The sequence below is a fragment of the Homo sapiens genome, chromosome 4 (assembly GCF_000001405.40).
Source record: "Homo sapiens chromosome 4, GRCh38.p14 Primary Assembly".
Lineage (NCBI taxonomy): Eukaryota > Metazoa > Chordata > Mammalia > Primates > Hominidae > Homo > Homo sapiens.
In genome coordinates, this window is record NC_000004.12 from 54,680,574 (window position 1) to 54,701,952 (window position 21,379).

General features: G+C 42.7%; 1 protein-coding gene across 8 annotated transcripts in view, besides 1 other annotated feature; it reads left to right on the plus strand.

The window, feature by feature from the left end:
- Positions 1-21,379, plus strand: part of KIT (KIT proto-oncogene, receptor tyrosine kinase) — an 82,759-nt gene that overhangs the window by 22,617 nt on the left and 38,763 nt on the right. For all 8 annotated transcript variants that reach the window (NM_001385284.1, NM_001385290.1, NM_001385288.1 and 5 more), the window contains exons 2-4: positions 14,939-15,208; positions 17,711-17,992; positions 19,057-19,193. In NM_001385284.1, the coding sequence (NP_001372213.1) occupies positions 14,939-15,208; positions 17,711-17,992; positions 19,057-19,193 (689 nt within the window). The remainder of the gene's footprint in view (positions 1-14,938; positions 15,209-17,710; positions 17,993-19,056; positions 19,194-21,379) is intronic.
- Positions 7,930-7,999: an enhancer, noted in NCBI's record as "active region_21573". NCBI's record gives its function as "activates an Ori minimal core promoter by ATAC-STARR-seq in GM12878 lymphoblastoid cells {active_cell/tissue: GM12878}" and the evidence as "EXISTENCE:reporter gene assay evidence [ECO:0000049][PMID:35858748]".

The window sequence follows — 21,379 nt, forward strand, 5'->3', positions numbered from 1 at the left end:
GTAGAGATGAGGTTTCACGGTGTTGGGCAGGCTGGTCTCGAACTCTTGACCTCAGGTGATCCACATGCCCCGGCCTCCCAAAGTGCTGGGATTACAGGTATGAGCCACCGTGCCGGCCTTATTTGTCTTCCTCAAAACTCCATTTCCCCTCCTGAGCCTGCAGGGAATTGACATTTTGCAGAAGCTTGAGTTTCCTGATAGGAGGAAATTTGGTGATTAGTGAATATTGGAGCGCCTAGCTCACACTCGCCCACACCCACACCTGTCCAGGACAGTGCTAACATGAAGGCAGTTTGCACTTGTCAGGTCCTCCTGCAGGATCTTGTTGCAAGAATCTGGTGATGCCCATCTGTTTGTGGAGTGTGCAGCCAGGAGGATCTGCTCGGAGGTGAGACTGCACCAGGGCTCCCTTTTGTATGTCCTAGGTCTTGGGGGGGTGAAGTCTTTGACTAGTGTGGCTGACCTTTGCCATGCTCTTTTGACCTGTTTCTTTTTACTTTGTTCTGAATTGTTCTTTAAGTGAAGGAAGAAAATGTTCAAAGAAGGGACGAGCTCGCTACCCCGACCCCAAACTTCACAGATGGTGAGGGCCTTGTTCTGGTGTTTATTGGATTCCAATCCTTAGTGCTTTTCTGGTTCATGTTTCAATATGTGCTTTCCAGAAATCAAAACACAGAAATCTACATATTTACGGCAGCGGGGATGGGGTGGGGGGTGCGGGGAAACGGGGGACTGTGCTGGGCTGTTGGGAAGAACCCACTGGAAATGAGAAAGTTCCTCCTTTCTGCTCAGGGATGGATCCCAGTATATTTTGCTTGTCACATCCAGACCTTATCCAACTCCCCAAAGACTGACTTCATAATGGCAGAGAAAGGTTTCCTCTTAGTCTGTCTCTGAGATCAAAAGGGGAGGTCTTTCCTCAAGCATTAGGTTGTATTTTTGTTAGGATGAGTGAGTGAGAAGAGAATATATTAAGTAGTCCTATGAAGGTCTTTGCTGCTGGTAAGGTGTGTGTATCTAGGAGAAGTCTGACCACATAATTAGCTGAGAAAGGTCCGTCTTTGAGTGTCGAATGATACTTGCATCTTCATAGTTAATTATAAGATGTCAGAGCCGTAAGTCAAATTTCATGTTTAGGTCCTTATTCTAATTCTGTGTCCAAAGAGTAGTATAAAAACAAAGTAGGCCTGGCATGGTGGCTCACACCTGTAATCCTAGCACTTTGAGAGGCCAAGTCGGGTGGATCACCTGAGGCCAGGAGTTCGAGATCAGCCTGGCCAACGTGGCGAAAACCTGACTCTACTAAAAATACAAAAATTAGCTGGGCATGGTGGCGGAGGTTGCAGTGAGCCGAGATCGTGCCACTTCATTCCAGCCTGGGAAAGCGAGACTCCATCTCAAAAACAAACAAAAACAAAGTAGATGTTTAGTTATATATTTATATTATAAGAGAATCACTGCTATTCATTCTTGCCACAAACATTTGAGTGCTTTCTATGTACAAGAACTGAATTTTCTTTTTTTTTTTTTTTTTGAGACTGGATCTCTCTTTGTCTCCCAGGCTGGAGTGTAGTGGCACGATCACAGCTCACTGCAGCCTCAACTTCCTGGGCTCAAGCGATCCTCCCACCTTAGCCTCCCAAGGAGCTGGGAGTACAGGCACATGCCACCATGCCTGACTAATTTTTGTATTTTTTGCAGAGATGATGTTTAGCCACATTGCACAAGCTGGTCTTGAGCTCCTGGGTAAGCAATCCTCCCGCCTTGACCTCCCAAATTTCTGGGATTAAAGGCATGGGCCACCGTGCCTGGCCCAAGCACTGAATTTTTATTAATGTAAGAGATTTCTTTGTCTTTTTTTTCTTTTTTTTTTGAGGTGGAGTCTTGCTCTATTTCCCAGGCTAGAGTGAAGTGGCACAGTCTTGGCTCACTGTAACCTCCACCTCCCAGGTTCAAGTGATCCTCCTCCCTCAGCCTCCTAAGCTGAGATTACAGGCACATGTCACCATATCCGGCTAATTTTTTTGGTATTTTTAGTAGAGACAGGGTTTCAGCATATTGGCCAAGACTGGTCTTGAACTCCTAACCTCAAGTGATCCATCTGCCTCGGCCTCCCAAAGTGCTGGGATTACAGATGTGAGCCACTGCGCCCGGCCGATATTTCTTTGTCTTGACCGTTTTTTTTTTTTTTTTTAGAAGACAGAGTCTCGCCCCGTCACCCGAGCTGGAGTGCAGTGACGCAATCTCGGCTCACTGCAACCTCTGCCTCCCTGGTTCAAACGATTCTTGTGCCTCAGCCTCCTGAGTAGCTGGGATTACAGGCATGCTACACCACACCTGGCTAAATTTTGTATTTTTAGTAGAGACGGGGTTTCACCATATTGACCATGCTGGTCTCAAACTCCTGGTCTCAAGTGATCCTCCCGCCTCAGCTTCCCACAGTGCTGGGATTACAGGTGTGAGCTACTGTGCCCGGCCTGTCTTAACCTTCCGATGGGGCCTATGTGTTTAATTCCAAACATACAATGTAGGATGATTAAATCAGGATAATTGGGGTTATCCCATCACCTCAGCATTTATTTCTTCTAAGCATTTAATTACAGATCTTAGAATTGTTAGTGGCTTTAGACTCTTTACTTTGTCAAATGAGAAAAACAAGGCCTAGAGAACCTAAGTAACTTGCCTAATGATTTAGAATCCAGAACTGCTATGTCTCTACCAGTATATATTTTCCCCTTCACATCCTTCACTAATTGCTTAAGAGCAAAAGTATGCAGTTATGGCCGGGCGCGGTGGCTCACACCTGTAATTCCAGCACTTAGGAAGGCAGAGGCAGGAGAATAGCGTGAGCCCAGGAGTTCGAGATCTGCCTGGGCAACATAGTGAGACCTCGTTCTCCACCAAAAGGTGGGGGGGTGGGGAAGACAAAACCCCCAAAACCCAAGTGTAACTACCTGCAAAAGTATGCATTTATACATTTCATCTAATATATACAAATATTAAATATTTAACAGACACCAAACATTTAATAATTTTGCTTGTCTTCTCCAGCCTGAGAAAAGCTTTGACAGATGTCCTGTCTCTAAAACACACTCACTGGAAGCTTGAGTCGTTGCTGCTGGGTCCTCTTAGTAAGTTTCCTTAGAAGCACACAGAACATTTAACATGTTCTCTATCTTGGGAGTGCTGTTCAAAAAGCAGAAGCAGCCCAAGGGCATCTTCTTTTGCCACCAGGTGGCACGCTTGTGAATTGGGAACTGGTGGAAGGAATGAGTCAAGGTGAGGGTTGCACTAAAATGAATCTCCCAGCTGGGCAATGTTGAGGAATCTGAGTGGGGAAATGCTTCATTGCAGAGAATGAAGTCTGTCTGATTTGCCCAGAGATCACAAAAATAAAAGACAGAAAAGCAGAACATGAAAATGCTACAGGAAAGGTGGGATCGGCACAAATGATACCTTGGCACTATGTCCGTGTGGTTTAAGGCAGAAAACTGAAGGGCTGACTTGGCCCTGAGGAGGAAACTACTCAGTAGCAGAGGCAGGAAGGGCCCAAACCACAGGTGAATCCACCCAGGTTGAACGCCCACACAGAGGTGTGTGGGTGGGGTGGGGTGGGGTGGGGTGGTGCAGCCTGACTGCCTCCGCTGCAAAGGATGTGCCTTTGTGTGCAGTGTGACATCCCTCTCTAGCCTTGGCGAACCTGGGAAACACTTCGTCTCACATGTCCTTGGAAATGTGGGACCCACATGTACCATGGGCTCCTTTGTACCACTGAGAGTCTCCTGAAAAGAGTAGGTCCAAAAAAAGGGGGGCTTGAGCCCAAAATGGGCTTCTGCACCTTATGGACACATGCATCAGCTCCTGGGCAGGTCAACTTAGGAGCCCTTCTAGTCATCCCTCTGGCTATCCCTCCCCTCAGTTCCTTCTTTCTTTATTGCCATCTTCCTCTGTGGATGTTCATCTCCCCAACTCTTCATTCTGAGCCTTCTGGAAGCACCCTGTGTCTTCATGCTGCCATCAGGCACTGTCCCCCACACTCACTGACTCCGAGGGTCCTCCCTCCACCTCCTCCCCCAAACTCCTCCCTGACACCAGCCAGTCCCCACAGTTGCTGCTCCCCCGGCAGCACGACAAAGCTCCCTTCTTCCATGTCCCACTTCTGCCATACCAATGGCCGGGCCTGCTTCTGCTGTACCAGTTGCCAGGCCCTGCATCTAGAGATCCTGGTTTGACTACTGTGGGCAAAGCTCTGGTGGTTCCGACATGCAGCTGGGATTGCTAATGAGTGTATGAGTTCTATGATTGTTTCTCCTCACTGCTGTCAGTGGCCAGTCCTGTGCCCTGGAGACTTGAGGGTGGGTTCCCCATCCTTCTCTGCTCCCCAACCTACTACCTTGTCCTGAGGTTCTAGTGTCCATCTATTTTGCCATTCAAAGTAATGGCAAAAACCACAATTACTTTTGCACCAACCTTCTATAGAAGGCCCTGTGCACTGTCTGATCTGGAATTTCCTGGTTCTCCTTTAGCAGTGGAGTCATTGTCATCTCTATCCTACTTCAGCCACCCTGGGCCTTGTCATTTCTCCCTGGCCCCTCTGTTCTTTGTAGTCTCCACTCCCTCCCTGGGGGATTTCATGGACACCACTACCACCCTCTGTGTGCCAGTAAGACTCCAGAGTATATCTGTGGATATACCCCACCTCCTGCCTCCAGTTTCCAGAACCTTTTTGCTGCTGCCTGCTGGGCCAAATGCCTCAAAATCTGTTTTACCCCTCCAATCTATTGGCACCCCATCTCCCCATCATGTAAGACAAAACCAGGGATATTTTTCTCCTTGCTTCTTCACTGTCCAGGGCCAGCCCACCCAAGGTCCCAGGCTCACCTGGCATAAAGCCACCCCTCCCCTTCATCCCACCACCTCTGGTTGATGCCCTCATCAGCTCTTTTCTGGGTCGCTGACTGGTTGTCTCCTGGCTGACCTTTCTCCAATTCTGTTCCCCTTGCACTGTCCTTCACTGCTCCCAGAGGAGTCCTCCTAAAACATACATCTGCAGCTCACCCCCTTACCATGACGGAGGAGGCCTCCGGGGGTTCTGCCCTCTGTCCCTCTCTAGCCTCACACCGGCAGCAATTCTGAATGATTTTGTGACTCCTAGGCACTGACTCCACTAGTTCTGTGATATTTGGTCTTGAATGTCTCTCCCTTCTCCCCTGACCCAAGTGATAGACCTTTCTCCTCTTCTACCCCTCAGCCTGGCTGCACACATCACTTGTTTTGAGCCCTAGGAATCTTTTTCTGAGCCTTCTCCACTTGCCCACTGCCTTAGTTTCCCAGCTCAGTTCTACATAATACTCTGCCCTGTTTTAGCCTGTACTTGCTTCATTGTATGGTAATTATGTGAGTCTGTCTTCCCCACTGGGCTGTGAGCCCCTTCTTTGTATTCCCAGGCCAAATGATAGGAGCTCAATTCCCATTTCATCAATAAGGACACGTTACACAAGTGCTTGCTTTGTTACTGATCCAGCCTTGTTTGCCATTAATTACTGACACTCTAGCTTTAGCTTTATTTCTCTGTTCTGTGATTCCCCTGTGTCAATTAGTTCATCATCTTTAGACCAACCTTGAAATATACTTAAGGAGCTACTTAAAAAAAAAAACTAAATATGCTGTAATGAAGTCTGTTATTTTGTGAATTTTAAATGGCTAATCATTTTTAAATGGTATAGTGCTATTGCTTGAAACCTTAAACTGTCCAAATTCTGTAAAATCACTAAATATCATGTACATAATACAGTACTGAGACCTGGCATGCAGATAGAACATATCTTTAATTTTTAAAAGCTAAACAGAAATTTGCATTGTCCAAAGGAACTGGTTTCTCAGGCCTGGACATGGGAATATTACAATGAAAGGTAAGGAGGAGATGATGTCAATCAGTTACCTATCATTCACCTCATGACTAAACCTGAGTAGGTTTTTTCTTTTTCTTGAAATGGGGCCTTACTCCACTCCTCAGGCTGGAGTGCAGTGGCACAATCTCAGCTCACTGCAGCCTCGACCTCTTGGGCTTAGGTGATCCTCCCACATCAGCCTCCTGAGTACCTGGGACTACAGGAGCGTGCCACCACACCCAGCTAATTTTTGTATTTTTTGTAGAAATGTGGTCTCACCATACTGCCTAGGCTGGTCTGTAACTCCTGGACTCAAGTGATCTGCCTGCCTCGGCCTCCCAAAGTGCTAAGATTACAGGTGTCAGCCACCACTCCTGGCCCTGAGCAGATTTTAATCATGAGTTCTGCCTAAATAATTGCTTTAATCTCTGTATTACTGGATTAAAGATAGATCTGAACTTAAGAGAAAGTGTGATCCGTCCAGGCATATTCTCAAACTTTTCCATGGAACTACTTTTAAAGATTGGAGGTACCACTGGTTTGAGTGGGACATTTGGGAATATGTGGTTGTAAAGTAATTCAGTTTCTTCGAAAGCTCATTTATTTCCTCCTGAAAAAAATACATTTGATTTTACCTTCTATATTACAATATGTAAAACAATATGAAAGACTGTTTAAAATTATTTACCACTGAGTGAAATCAACCTTCAAGAAGACTCATAATCAACTTTGGGAGGCCGAGGCGGGTGGATTACCTGAGGTCAAAAGTTCGAGACCAGACTGGCCAACATAGTGAAACTGCATCGCTACTAAAAATGCAGAAATTAGCCGGGTATGGTTATGTGCCCCTGTAATCCCAGCTACTTGAGAGGCTGAGGTGGGAGAATTGCTTGAACCCAGGAGGCAGAGGCTGTAGTGAGCCGAGATCGCGCCACTGCCCTCCAGCCTGGGCGACGACAGAGCAAGACCCCATCTCCAAAAAAAAAATAAAAAAAAGACTTACAATCAAACATCCTCAATGAAAAAGCATTGCTCTGTAGGGTGATGCCACAAATTATTTAACCATTCTTTCCTTTCTGCCCCTTTGCATCTTCTGTACTGTAGACATTCCTTCCCCCTGCACTTAGCAGGTGGTATATTCCTGGCACTGGACAGAGACCTTACTTTGGATTGTGAGAGCTCACAGTTTGGTTGGGTTGGGGTCCCCATAGGACTAGCTTTTCCTGATGCTTTGGACACCCCTTCATGCTTTGAGAACTTTGTCTTCGCCTTCCTTTTCCTTGAATACACATAGAAACACATACACGTGCAAACACATATACAAAGTCTTCCTGGCTCAGCTCTCCCCTACACCCTTTCATGGTCCTTCTGGGCAGCACAGGCCTGTAGCACGTGTGTCACCTCTTGATGTTTTATTTCATTAGCATTATGTCTTTGTCTGCACAAGGCTGTGAGCTCCCCCATGAGCATCTAGTTCTGGTTACACAGTACATGCGTGATGAAAGGTAAGACTTTAATGACGACGGTGCATTGAGCTCCCCATAGTAGAACAGGGACATTTTTGAGATTCTCTGTTGCATGGCTTCCTTTGGTTCATGTGGGTGATTCAGAGTTGATTTAGTCTCCCCACTGCTGGGCAAGAGTGTTTTGAGGACTTGTGTGGTTTTCACTGAGCTCATACTCCCCCTCCCCCATCTGCATGCTATTTCCAGTATCATCTCTTTGTTTGTAAAGCCTCATGGGTGTTGTGGGCGATTACTGGGATCCTTCCATCATGGTTTTCATCCAGTTTATTCCTATGGGGATATAAAAGTGTGTCAGAAACAGTATAATATACAAATCATTAGCTTTTTTATTACGAATTGTGGTTAAACACTATGTGAACCGAAGAGTAGTTGAACTACAATGCACAGGCTCTGCCCCAGTCACAGTTCTTCCTGCTCTACTTCCCCAAAACTAGAATAGGCCTAATGTGGTGGGTTTTCTTCCCCGCCATTATTTTGTCTAGTTCCTTATATTTGTGTCCAAAAGAGGACAGGTTTAGAAAGGACTTCCTTACTTTTAACCGCAGCTATCAATCCAGTTGTTGGAGCTTTAGCCTTTTGTGAAGGATAGAAAGACCTTGCAGTCATGGTTGACCTGGGCCAGCCACTGCTGAAGTTGCCGGGGAGAACCCCTGAGCTCCATCAACAGGTCACTCCTGCTTCCACAGATCACTGCACCTAGAATTGCAGTCTCAACTAGTCTGTGAATTGACATGTTAAAAAAATACTACAGGTATGCTTTGAATATTTTATTTTTACGAATTGTGGTTAAACACTATGTGAACTGAAGAGTAGTTGAACTACAACGCACAGGCTCTGCCCCAGTCACAGTTCTTCCTGCTCTGCTTCCCCAAAACTAGAATAGGCCTAATGGACAGCTAGGAGATGGACAGCTGCCTATCTTTTGATGGAGGGCCAAAGCCTCTTCTTTGAGTTTTGGTTGAGTGATGGGCTTTCTCAGGAAAGTTCTGAGCTGCCATTCTTTCCATACACCACACCCACAATGCAGAGTCTGTGATTCCTTATTTCTGTGTCCTTAAATGGAGTACTTGTGAAACAATCCAAATGCAGAACCCACGCCAAGTTTTTGTAAATTGGAGGCCCTCCTCCGATCTGCTAATGTTTGCCCACATTTAATTCAATAGTAGACTTTCTTTAGTTGAGCGACCCATATAAAGCCTTTCTTAGTTATGGAAGAATTAGCAGCTTTCTCCCCATAAGCACACACTCATTTTTCACCAATTTCCATAATGTGCACTTTATACATGTAATTTATACATAATAAAATATCGAATACAACTCCCATAAGCAGGTTTGGGGATAAAACCAGATGACTCATGGTGTGAGCAGAAGAGCAAAGATACACTAGAGAAGAACTTAATAGTATTGGACATTAAAAATGCCTTGGGCAGGGTCAGTGTGGTTTAAAATAAGAGCTTCCAGGTCTTTCCACTCAGAGAGTTAAAAGACCTTTTCCTGCCAATGCTTATTTAGTATAAGCTCAACTGTATAGCAAAACTAAATAAAAATAGTGAAGCAATTAATTTTTTAATGACATGAATTAAAACAACATTGAGGGGCTCACAGAGGCTAATAATAGAGGCCAGTGTGATCAGATAAAAAAGTGTCAAGATAGCTGAGGCAGGTTTTAGGTTTAGCCGGGCCTTAAAGAATTGTTGAGTTTTTAAAACATTAATTGCAGTAAAATACATGTAACTTAGGATGTACTATTTTTAAGTGTCCCAATTCTGTGTGGCACCAAGTATCTTCACAATGTTGTGTAACCATCACTACTAACCATTTCCAGAACTTCTTCATATCCCAAACAGAAACTCTACTTATTAAATAATAACTGTCCATCCCCCACTGTACTCCCTCCCCACACCTTAATAACCTGTTCTACTTTCTGTCTCTGTGAATTAGCCTATCCTATGTACGTCATATAACTGGTATCACACAATATGCCTTTCTGTCTGGCACATTTGACCTAGCATACTGTTTGCAAGGTTCATTCATGTGTGGCATGTATAGAATGTTACTTTTTTTTTGTGGGGGGGGGGGGCTGTGTAATGTTCCATTGTATGTATATACCACATTTTATCCAAGTTATTGGACCACATTGGGTTTTATAAGTTATTGGACCACATTTGGGTTGTTTACACCTTTTGGCTATGGTGAATAATACTGCTGGGAACATTGGTGTACAAGTATGGGTTTGAGTTTCTGCTTTCAATTATATAGGTTGAATTTTATACTGCTAGTGATGAGGGAGACATAGCAAGTACCTGAAGAGGTTATAAGCCAGAGGCATTTCTTTTATTTTGAGCTATCACTGAAATCTTGCATTGTTGACTCTTCGTAAGTGTCCGCTTCCTCCTCTATGCTGTTTGAGAGCGAAGGCCATTTTCTAGGTTCAGCACTTACCAAGTAGCTGGGATAAGTATTTACTGAATAAATAGTTCCCGGAGTTCCTAGCTTAAAGCCGTCATTCCTTATAGTGCTAGTTGGTCTCCAGAGTGTTGGGTTTTGCCACCTATCCTTTTTTTGGGTTAATTAATTAACATGTGTTCAGGGAACAGAAAACAACTCTTAATATTAGCCTTAGCCAAACATAATTTGGGAAGTACATTTGCTAATGCAAAAAGTCCTGGTGTAAATAAAACACAATTCAACAAACATTTGTTAAGAACTTGCTGTCTACCACGCACATTTCAAAATTTGGAATTTCAGAGCAATTTCAAAGCTAAGTTGGAATACCTTTTTGAAAGGCGTTCTCTTAATACGAACCTCTACTCTTTTAAAAAAAACTTTGTTTTTCAAAAATTGTGAGACTACTATAACAATATTAAAGACAATTTAAAAAAGAGAATAAACATTACAGTCCCACCCTAATAAAAGCCCTATTTTCATTTTATAATGTGAGTTTATAAATCATTTATTTTGAAAATAAAACCCTGAATACTTCTGGTGGCAATTATTTTAATTATTTTTTAAAACTCTAGAAGTGAAGCATGAACTCATGATCTTGAATTTAGAGGGCCCTTATTTGGAGGGATGCATGGCTGTTTGACTTGATGAAGCCAAGCTTTTCTTGGTGGAGCAGCAGAATTGACATGGGTCATCTTTTGGGGATAGATCTGTAGACTGTTGACATCTGTTATAGGGACTGGGTGTTTAGGAGCCTGTCCTGTCTTTATTCTTTCATATGTTCAGGATTGAAGAAAATGTTTTTATTACTGTGCTAGAGGGAAAAGTACGATTTAGGATCCTTACCTGCAGGATCTAAGACCTTGGAGTGGATGTAGGAGATATGGACACAGTTGAACATCAGTACAAGGCAAATGAGTGATGGGCTGCCTCTGTTGGTGGGATTTAGTGAGGACAGGTTATCGCAACATGGAGTGGCTAGGGAACAACATCCATGAAGAGGCTGTCTTCAGCGGGGCTTTACACAAGACAAGATGTGTCCCAGGGACACAGGCAGAAGGGATGATGGGCATGACAACGGATGAAGAATGTTCTCAGGATCCTTAGCCAGTCAGCCTAAGGAGAGGCAGGTTGGGTCCGGGGAAAACAGCTAGAAGTTAACCCCATGGCAGTTCCTTTAAAGTTGTAAGAGCTGCTACTGTTAGCTGCTGCTGCCTCTGTTGTGGTTTTGAGGCTGGGGATGGAATTGTTAAAAGGATATTGTTTTAGGCTGATGGACCTCAGAGTTTTGAGGGAGGATGAGTTGGGGTGGGGTGGGTGGCGGCTGGCGGGGAGTCTTTTAGGAGAGGATATTACTTCTGTGAAGTAGTTGGCTGGTCTCAAGTGGAACAGCAGGAATGGAAGGGATACAGGGTGTGTGGAGGGGGCTCTGAAGGAAAGAATGCTAGGATGTGCTGCCCGAGAGGGGGAAGTCAGGTAGGAACATGTTTGGCAGATGATGGAAACTCTTCCCATACATAGGAAGTGGGTGAGTCCGGACTGATTTGGAAGGCCAATAAGAAGTTCCATTTCTGGAATAAGTGTGCCTAACATTTATTATGTGTTTTCCATGTACCAAAACATAGTTCTAAGAGCTTTACATAACAGCCTTATAAAATAAGTACTGTTAGTATCCCCACTTTACAGATGAGAAACTGAGGGCAGAGTTGAGTAGGAACTTGCCTCAGGGTTACACACTCAGTGGCAGAGCCAAGATGCAAGTCTAGACAGTCCTAACTCAAGAGCCAGGCTCTCACTTGGTATGCTAAAAGGCTTTCCTGCTTTTCTATGATAGCATGTATTAAAAACTATCCAGTCCTGTTTTAATCTCCTTACATGTGTTACCTCACTTGATTCTCAGAAAAACTCTATGAGATGAGGGTATTTTTATCCTCATTTTCCAGGTGTGGAAACTTGGACACAGAGTTAGGGTGATATGCCTATGTCACACAGCTAGACTTAGCTGCATTGGCCTGGTGTGTCTCAGGAAGTCAAGGATGTTTATTTGACTGGATTGTAATTATCTATATCCATCAGATCAACCCATGAGAAAATGGAATTGATTGAAATAGATTGCAGTATAAATTCTTTAAGAAATATTGGGTCAAATTTGCTATCAATATCATGCACATTCATTGGGAACTGTTCTTTTTTAAAAGGAATAAATAATATAAATAATAGCATCTCTATTGCTGCCTCTGTTTTTATTATTTAGTGCTCTGTACAACTCTGAAAATAATCCTGGCCACTGCGTGCCCATATTCTTGCTGCCACATTTAGATGCTGCACCTAGCGGACTCAACGTCTCACTCTGTAGCCTTTATGACGTTGTTGCTGCCTAATAATATTTAATGCTTATAATTGGACTTATTGTCTTTTGATCTGGGGTGTACTTTGCTTGACATAATGGGGCTACAGTTGATGCCACCACAGGCAATATTTGGCTAATAAACAGGAATTGAGACTGGTCATCTATACACACACCTGCAGGAAACAATTTCCACCCTCCTGTAAAGCACCTTCAGTCTGTCCCTACCCACAAGTGCTCTTCTTTCTATCTCGCATGTGAGGGGGTCTCCTGTTTTCTTTACCTTTAAGCCTGGTTTGGCTACAGATCTCTATTTCTGTCTTGTACTGCCAGAACTACCCAAGGGAGAGGTCTGCATTTGCAGCTTGTAGCCCTGGAGCAAACAACACTTCCCACTCAATTGAAATTGTACTTTAGAATTTCCAGCAGTCTCTTTGTAACCAGATTAGGGGTCTTTTGTTCATTCCCTGCCATCTTACTGTGGCATCTGCCCTTAGAGCCACCACCCTCTCTTTGAAACTTTGTACTGCATTGCCTTCTTTGCCACTTAGCCTCTCTCCCTTTTCTTCCTGGTGGTTCTTTTTCTTAAATCTCTCATGACCCTTTCCTACACCGTCTTGGCTGGAAGAGCCCTTTAAGATCAATGCTTGGTTGGTTCCTCAAACCCTTTTCTTTAATGATCTGATCTTGTTTTTTAACTTCACAAGGTGTCACTGGACCACCATCATCTGAATTCCAGGTCATAAGCAACCCACTGCTGAGAAGTCCCATTACTGGCCAGGTTGTACCTGTGAGCAAATTACACCTCTCACGTCCCCTCCCCTCAGAATATGCCCCCATCCCCTATCCTCACCCATCCTGAACTTGTGTGGCTCACTCAGATCAGTCCTCATCTGCAACCTTGCATATGGTGGCAGGGGACATAAATCTGATGTGCATGAACCATTCCCTTCACCATTCTGCAAGAGGTGACTGGGGGCCCCAGGGAATCTTGTTATCACACTGCCCCAGCCCACCTCACCTGGGGACCTTGCCTTCTGCCTCCTCACTGAGGTCTTCCCTGAGTCAACCTTTTGCTTTTTCATCCCGCTGATATGGCCTTCCTCTGACAATCTATAGTGTCTTTTCCTGTTTATTCTGAATTCCTTACTGTAGGTTCTCATTACTTCTGCCTGCGACCAGCATGTTTCACTCATTTCCTTGAATCTAGTTGATTCTCTGGGATCTCACTATGCATGTCACTTCTCTGCTGAAAAACCTAAATTGAATCTACAGGGTCCCTGAGGTACGTTCCCAGAATTTACACCCAGAAGTTCAGGACCCTTGATGGATCTGGTTTCACTCCACGTAGTTTCACCTGTCATGTGCTCCGCAAGGTACCCTGTTTTTTAGCCAGGCTGGTTTCTGAATAACTCTAGAGGCTCTGTGCTCACTTCACTGCCAGTTCATGCTGTCATCTTCTCCTCCTCCTCCTCCTTTGCCCTTATGATATGGTTACACTCCAGCCCACCTCTTGCTTTTTCTTCAGATTGACAGTAAACCTCATAGCTATGTTTTACTTCAGTACTTTGTTCTATTGTTTTTAGAGAGACAGAGTCTTACTCTGTCACTCAGGCTGGAGTGCAGTGTTGCAATCACAGTTTGCTGCAGCCTCAACCTCCTGGGCTTAAGTGATCTCCCACCTCAGCCTCCCGCCTCAGCCTCCCATGTAGCTGGGAAAACAGGTTCCCACTACCATGCCCAGCTAATGTTTTTTCTAGTTTTTGTAGATGTGTTGGGCGGTGGGGGCGTCTCACTGCGTTGCCCAGGCTGGTCTCGAACTCCTAGGCTCAAGCAATCTTCCCACCTCAGCCTCCCAGAGTGCTGGGATTACAGGCGTGAGCCACGGCACCTGGCCAGCAGTTTGTTCTTTAAACCCTGAAATGTATGTGAGGACCATGTGTCACACTAGCATGGACTTTTCCCCAGCATCTAGCATGGTGCTTTTGTAGATGATAATTAATGAATAGGTATTTGAATACATGGAGGCATGCATGGCTGAATGAAGTGGCTGTTGTAAAATTTCTAGGGTTCAGGTTTCATATTCAGAGCCTAAAGTTTGCATCTTTATAAACTAAATAGTTTCCTATCTAGGAAACCTATTTAGGCATTAGGGTGTTAAAACAGGTGTATCATTTTCTGCCTTAGTGTTTAGAGATTTGTGAATAGTTCTCCTTTTGATGAACATTGCCATGTAAAGAGAGTTATACAGAAATAACTGAATTCACACAGTTTTAAGGAAAAGCTATTCTATGTCATGGTCATGTATATTCTGCCAAAGAGAGTGACAGGCCAGTAGTTTCTTTTTTCTTTTTCCCCATAGTGTGAGATTTTGTTTCTGTTGTTTCTAAGCTGGGTGTCTGCATGTCCACACTGCGAAGATGGCCCATATTCAGAATGAAAACTTGACCCAATTGTATGTTTAGCCCAGAGAAGGCTGGGGCATTCAGCACATCCTGGCTTGGGGACCAAATGTGACCCTCAGGATTAATTGAGGGTTGGAGAAAATAATTTTATAGATGAACTTAAGACATTTTAGACAGAACTCTCTTTTCAGCCATAAATAGCAGGGCAGCTTTGTCCTATTTTTATTGTAGAGTACACAGAAGATGGAACTCAGTATTGGAAGAAGTGCTTTATTTCGCCAAGGAAGAAGATCATACTCAACACGATTCTGTTTTTCTTGGCAGGCTCTTCTCAACCATCTGTGAGTCCAGGGGAACCGTCTCCACCATCCATCCATCCAGGAAAATCAGACTTAATAGTCCGCGTGGGCGACGAGATTAGGCTGTTATGCACTGATCCGGGCTTTGTCAAATGGACTTTTGAGATCCTGGATGAAACGAATGAGAATAAGCAGAATGAATGGATCACGGAAAAGGCAGAAGCCACCAACACCGGCAAATACACGTGCACCAACAAACACGGCTTAAGCAATTCCATTTATGTGTTTGTTAGAGGTAAATGCTTGGCTTTCTGCAGTGCTGTGCTTTCAAGAATTTAATATCCTGCTCTTAATTTTGGATGACATATGGATGACTGAGCCATAGATAAAATATTTCTGGCTGGGTCTAGAAGGCCTAAAACACATGTTTCTTCACTGTTCTCTCCCATCTTTTGATATGATACATAGTGGCTTTGGGTATGGCCCCAGCTGGAGGACTGCAGGACTGTGATACTCTTCCTAATGAGATTACAGTAGGTTTAGCCCATTTGTGCTGGTGCTTTGAGTAAACCCTGAGAATCAATTAGGCCCTTTGGGAAAGCTGCATTTTAATGCCTTGAGATACTAGATACTCCCACTTAGTAAAAACACTTCAGGGAGCCGAAGGCCTCTCAAAGCCTAACCAGACCGACACTTCGAAAGATGTGGCCCACTCTTAAGGAGTAAATTTCAGAAAAATAATTTGGTCAGCTAAACATCCCATGTCTGTCATGGGTTCTTTGTAGAGTTGTCCATAGAAAAAAATGTGACCTCTTATAAACAAAAGAAAAATAAATATGGTAGTTGGAGTTCTTTGCTTTATTTCCTATGACAAGTTCAGTGATTTGTCTGTGATTTTAATAGCCTTTTCAAGAGTAAGCATGCTGGGCAGGGGTGTATCTTGTAGTTGATGTAAAAACTGATCCACTGGCAGCTTAAGGGACATATCCAAGTGACGGGAGGAGAAATAGAGTTCTATTTTCTAGTTCTGGGTGCCCCTGGACTGGGGCTGTCTTTGAAACAGGCCTGAGAGGCCTTATCCATGGTATTGTGAATGAATAATGGATACTTTTATTCTAGATTGGAGATCTTAGGTACCTCCTGAGTTCAGTTCCTCACTACAGTATTTGGATAAGATGATCTGTTCTGTCTTCCTTACGTAATTGTTAGGGAGCCAGGATGGTACAAATTCTAACATGCTCCATCAGGAGCGAATAAAGCTGACTCTAAAGTTTGACTGTGCCTCTCCGCTTTATCAGTTGTCCTTTCCGAAGTAGGTAGCTGCAAAGAGATATACCCTGGTAAGTCACCACTTCGCCTCAGGGCATGCTTCTGTGATTGCTGAGCTAATCCATGTGCTGTTCTTTACATTCAGGAAGGTATTTTGCAATTTCCAGGTGGCAATGAAGTATCATGACAATTGAATAAATGAGGAAAACTGTTGAATTGGTTAAATCACTCTAACAGGGCTCACAAACATTCTTCATAGGGAAAGTCATCTTCTGTATCTTGGAACTATCCTTAATTATAACAAATGTAAGATGTTTGAATACTTAAGTAATCTCTGTTACAGCAATGAAGGAAGGTGGGGCATCATTGTAGGAGCTAGACTCAAGTGACCTACAAAGAGTAGATAAAACAGTAACTAGCTATGGCCTGGGACCATCCATAGTTCAACCATCATGAGGTCATTTATTTGCAGAATAAATTAGTAAGGTTGGGAGATGCATAATTTATCTTGGAAAACTTTTTTTTCAAAATTGATCAAGGATAAAACACAAACCTATTTCAATGATGTCAAGTTCATTTTGTGAAACACCTGAGTTTCAGATGGAAAGGACAGTTTAAAAACAGATTTTAAATGTAATCTGTGGGCCTAAACATGTATCTGTATTATGACACTGTAGAGAGTGGCAGCATATTGTGTATACGAAATTAGGTTTGTCTGGCTTCTATGAGGCCCCAGTCAGCCTGAGCCACTCCGAGTCTGTTCCTGGTGTCCTGTCATAAACACTAATGGTGTTCACTTTCACTCACAAGTGTCCTGGTGGGCTATGGTATTTGCCACAGAATTCCTGAAACTCACAAGCTCCCCTTGTGCATTTGAAATTATTTGATTTCCAGAAGCTACATTTACATGTTTCTTCAGAGGAATATGAATCAAGTGAGACTCACCTATCATGGGTACTGGGTGGCCTGGTGAGAGTTTTCTGGATTCTCTTTAGAAGCCGAAAGACTCTGGACCCTGGAAAGGGTCCTGCACCAAGTGGTTAGAAGGAGGAAGCCTTTCCTGCTCTCACTAGGAATCATCACACTGGCTTATTGGCAGATGATCCCTGGAGTTGTAATAAAGTTTTCCCAAAGTTTTAAGAGCTCAAATATTGCTCTCTGTTGGACTTGGGTTTGAGTTCCAATCAGCCATTTCCAGGTCATGTCACTTTAGGAGGGTTGCTTTTATGACACCGCAGTTTCATCTATGAAATGGCAATAATAATAGTACTGATCATGGGAGGGGCAATTTGAAGATTAAATGAGATTAAGTGTAATGGTCCAAGCTTAGTGCGTGATACATGGAAAGCGTTTAATAAATGTTAATTCTCAATAGTACTAGATGGATAAATTTTGCTTTTGTTTACACAGAAAAAAGCAGCCATTTGGGCCACTAGTCATGAAAGGCAACATATTAGATCTTTTAAAAAGTGTTTTCAGTGTCTGTGACCAGCCATTCCAACTACTGATTTTGGATATGCTTCTATAGATCCTGCCAAGCTTTTCCTTGTTGACCGCTCCTTGTATGGGAAAGAAGACAACGACACGCTGGTCCGCTGTCCTCTCACAGACCCAGAAGTGACCAATTATTCCCTCAAGGGGTGCCAGGGGAAGCCTCTTCCCAAGGACTTGAGGTTTATTCCTGACCCCAAGGCGGGCATCATGATCAAAAGTGTGAAACGCGCCTACCATCGGCTCTGTCTGCATTGTTCTGTGGACCAGGAGGGCAAGTCAGTGCTGTCGGAAAAATTCATCCTGAAAGTGAGGCCAGGTACTGGCTCTTTCTTATCTGCCTCTGGGAGTTGAGAACTCACTTATCTAAAGAAGACTTCTCTTCTCGTTGATCCACCTTAGTGTAGTCAATCAGGGAGCTAGCTGTTCATAGTTCCCCCAGCTTCAAAAAATGTCATCTGCTTTTGAATTTGTTTATTTCATGGTCCTGACCCCGTGTGGCAGTTCCATGACTGCCTCTCATAGAGGTGAATGTATCTGCCATAGATTGGCATTTAGACTGGACTGACTTAAGTCAGCCCAAAGTTTCATAATTGCATCAAGTACTCGTTCTAAGGGAAACCCATTGGGTAGCTTGAATTATGTTGGTTGAAAAGATTAGCATGCAGATGATTCATTCTTTGATTTACTATTGACATATGAATTGACTTTCCCTTCAGCTGATCAATTGCAATGCATCCTCAAACTGTTTGAGATCTGAGAAGGAAAATTCCAGTTGACTGTGGAACTTGTTATGGTTGTGCCGTTATGTAGAATATTTCGTTAGCTGGAAGATAATCTAGGTTTTAAATCTCAGAGATCATCTAATTCAACACCAGTTGGCATTCAGCTATTGAGTACAGTTTTTATTAAGGCTTTTGAAAAAGTATACTTATTGAAATTAGGGAAAATTTGATTATTTAAAACCTGGGATTTCCAGAGGTGAGCAGGGTAGGATTTGCATGAGAAAGACGCCTGTTTGCTTAAAAGAATATAAGTAGTTGTTGGTCACATCCTCCTGACACCATCAAGGTTGTCTGAAATAAAGATTAAAGCAGCTTCTCTATGCTAGGGCTTCTACTTGGTTTGGAAAAAGTGTTTTCCAGAAGTATTATAATCTCACAGTGGGCATTTCTGTCTTTTTCACTCAATTTACTTGAAGGATGCTTGATTTAATTGCTGGTACCTTCAGATATGCAAGTAGTACAGATAGGTTAGCACCATGCTTTGTATTTTATTTAAAAGATGACAAAGTAAGCTGTACACATTTGAGGAGAAATGGTAAATCAAAATTTCATGCTATAATACAAATTATTTGAGGGGCCACATTTCTTTTCATTCTAGCCTTCAAAGCTGTGCCTGTTGTGTCTGTGTCCAAAGCAAGCTATCTTCTTAGGGAAGGGGAAGAATTCACAGTGACGTGCACAATAAAAGATGTGTCTAGTTCTGTGTACTCAACGTGGAAAAGAGAAAACAGTCAGGTGAGTGAATCGCTTCATTCTTCTCATGTTCTGTCTCTGTGGGAGATGATAAGTTTTCTCTTTCAGAAGAGTCTGTCCTGAAACTGCCTCGACTAGTGCGTCTGTCAGAGGTGGATTGTCTGGGAGAGTGTTGGGATTGCATATTTCCCCCTTTCATACCTCCACATGGAGATATATACATTTATTATTAGTAACAAATAAATTTCATTTTATACATTTATTTTGAGAAACTTGAGAGAACTTCAGATTCATGTTATTACTTCATGCTGTTTCTTTGAAAAACTGTTAGGGACTTAAAAAACATGGTTAACTGCATGAATACTTTGATTTAAAGCTATTGTTGATACCGTTTAGGCCAGACTATTTAAAATATTGAAAAGAGTTGCCACTTCCATACTTAAAAAGAATAGAGAGTCTCAATTATTCACCAGAAAACCCTTCCCTCGCCCACAAATTGGCCTATCCATTTGAAGATGGGTTTCTTTTTGTAAGGATCTGATTTCCTCCTTTGAGGCTGGTTACCTGAGATTAAGTTGCTAATGGTTTTCTATTTGTTTTAGTCACTATTAATAAAACTGTTATCCTTAATCTGAAACATCTGGGCATGCTTACGTTCCCATTCATTTAACAAATGCATATTCAATGCCATTATACCTCAGATACTGGGTTAGGCATATCTTAAATAAATTTTAGCTAGTTACTGAAATTTTATCCCTACTAAAAGAGCAGAGTTTTTACACTGTCTTAATTTCCAAATACTTTGCTTTAAACTTCCCATTGACCAAGTTTTCAGTAATTTTTGTTTGAATAATCTTGGCCATCTAGTTAATTAGCTATCACAGTGGTTTTTATTCATTACCCATGCAAGCATTATATTGGAAAAAAGAAATATTATATTTTCTTTCTCCTCCTCTTCCTCCTCCTGCCCCATGTTCAACATTGGCAATTTTATGCCTGTTTAAAAAACTCTTTGCTAAACAAATAACCATGGTGATTGCCATAATGCAAAGACAGTGTGATGATATTCATGTAGACCTGTGATGGATGATATCTTGCTAAATGAAGCCTGCCATTGACTGGTAGAATGGATTGTACCATAGACTTATTCTTTCAAACCAATGACTCAGAGAAACATTTTAGTTTTTGTATCATATAATGTAATACAAAAATAGCTTATGTATGGATTTTTGGCTAACCTTACAGAATACAATCTCATATTAATTGGCTTTCTATAATCCTTGATTTCAGATGAGAGAACAATTTAGACCGGGTGTGCATTTGAGCCTCTGTATAACTTGAACATTATCCTTTTTTGAGATGAGAAATTAAATTGCCCCAGGCAGTTTTGTTCTGAACCATTTTTCCCAGGAGCCCTGCATGCCAGTCCCAATTAATCCACTGGTGCTGGTAGATAAGCCTTCAGTGTTAGGAGCTCTTTGGGGAAATCCCAGTGTGCACCTCCAAGGGTTAAGGAAAACCAAATCACGTGCAAACAATATGTAATGTGTGACTTGCAGATGGGGCTCATGGCTGTCTGCCAAGGTTCATCCATGAATCTTTTATTGATATCTTTTGGCTTAATTTAGAATACTATTAGCACTATCAAATTATTAAAAAATCCATAATATTTTATTCTGACCCTTTGGAATAAGTTTAACTCACAATGTAATTTAGGGTAAAATGACTTTTTAGCATTGTTGCCATTGTTTAAGCGCAAGGGAGTCTTGGAGTTTGTTCAATACTGTTAATCTTAGTTGGTTAGCTTTCTTAATGCCTCTAAACCCTCACATTTTTACTTGCTTGTAATCAGAATCTTTGACAGTATCCTAACTTATGGGCTTTGGGTTTGGATGTTCATGCTGCATCTCTTATGACTGCACTATTCCTTTCAGCGCTGACAAGTTCAGAGTTCCTGTTTGAGTTCTGTTGTGGACTCTTGGGCTCTTGAAAGAACTAGAAGGAAGATACCTTAAATTGAGACTTTGATATGTTATCTGTCCATTGTCACTCTGCCTTTGTGGAGAAGTCTGTGAAACTATGAACTGGGAAAAGCCAGTTTGAAAATGTTGCTTCACCTTGCTCTTACATCTTCTTGACAATTGATCTTATGCTGTGAAATGGTAGATTTCTGCCAATTATTAGAAGACTCTCTTAGAAGGGGGTAGTAGGAAATCTACATAGTGTTA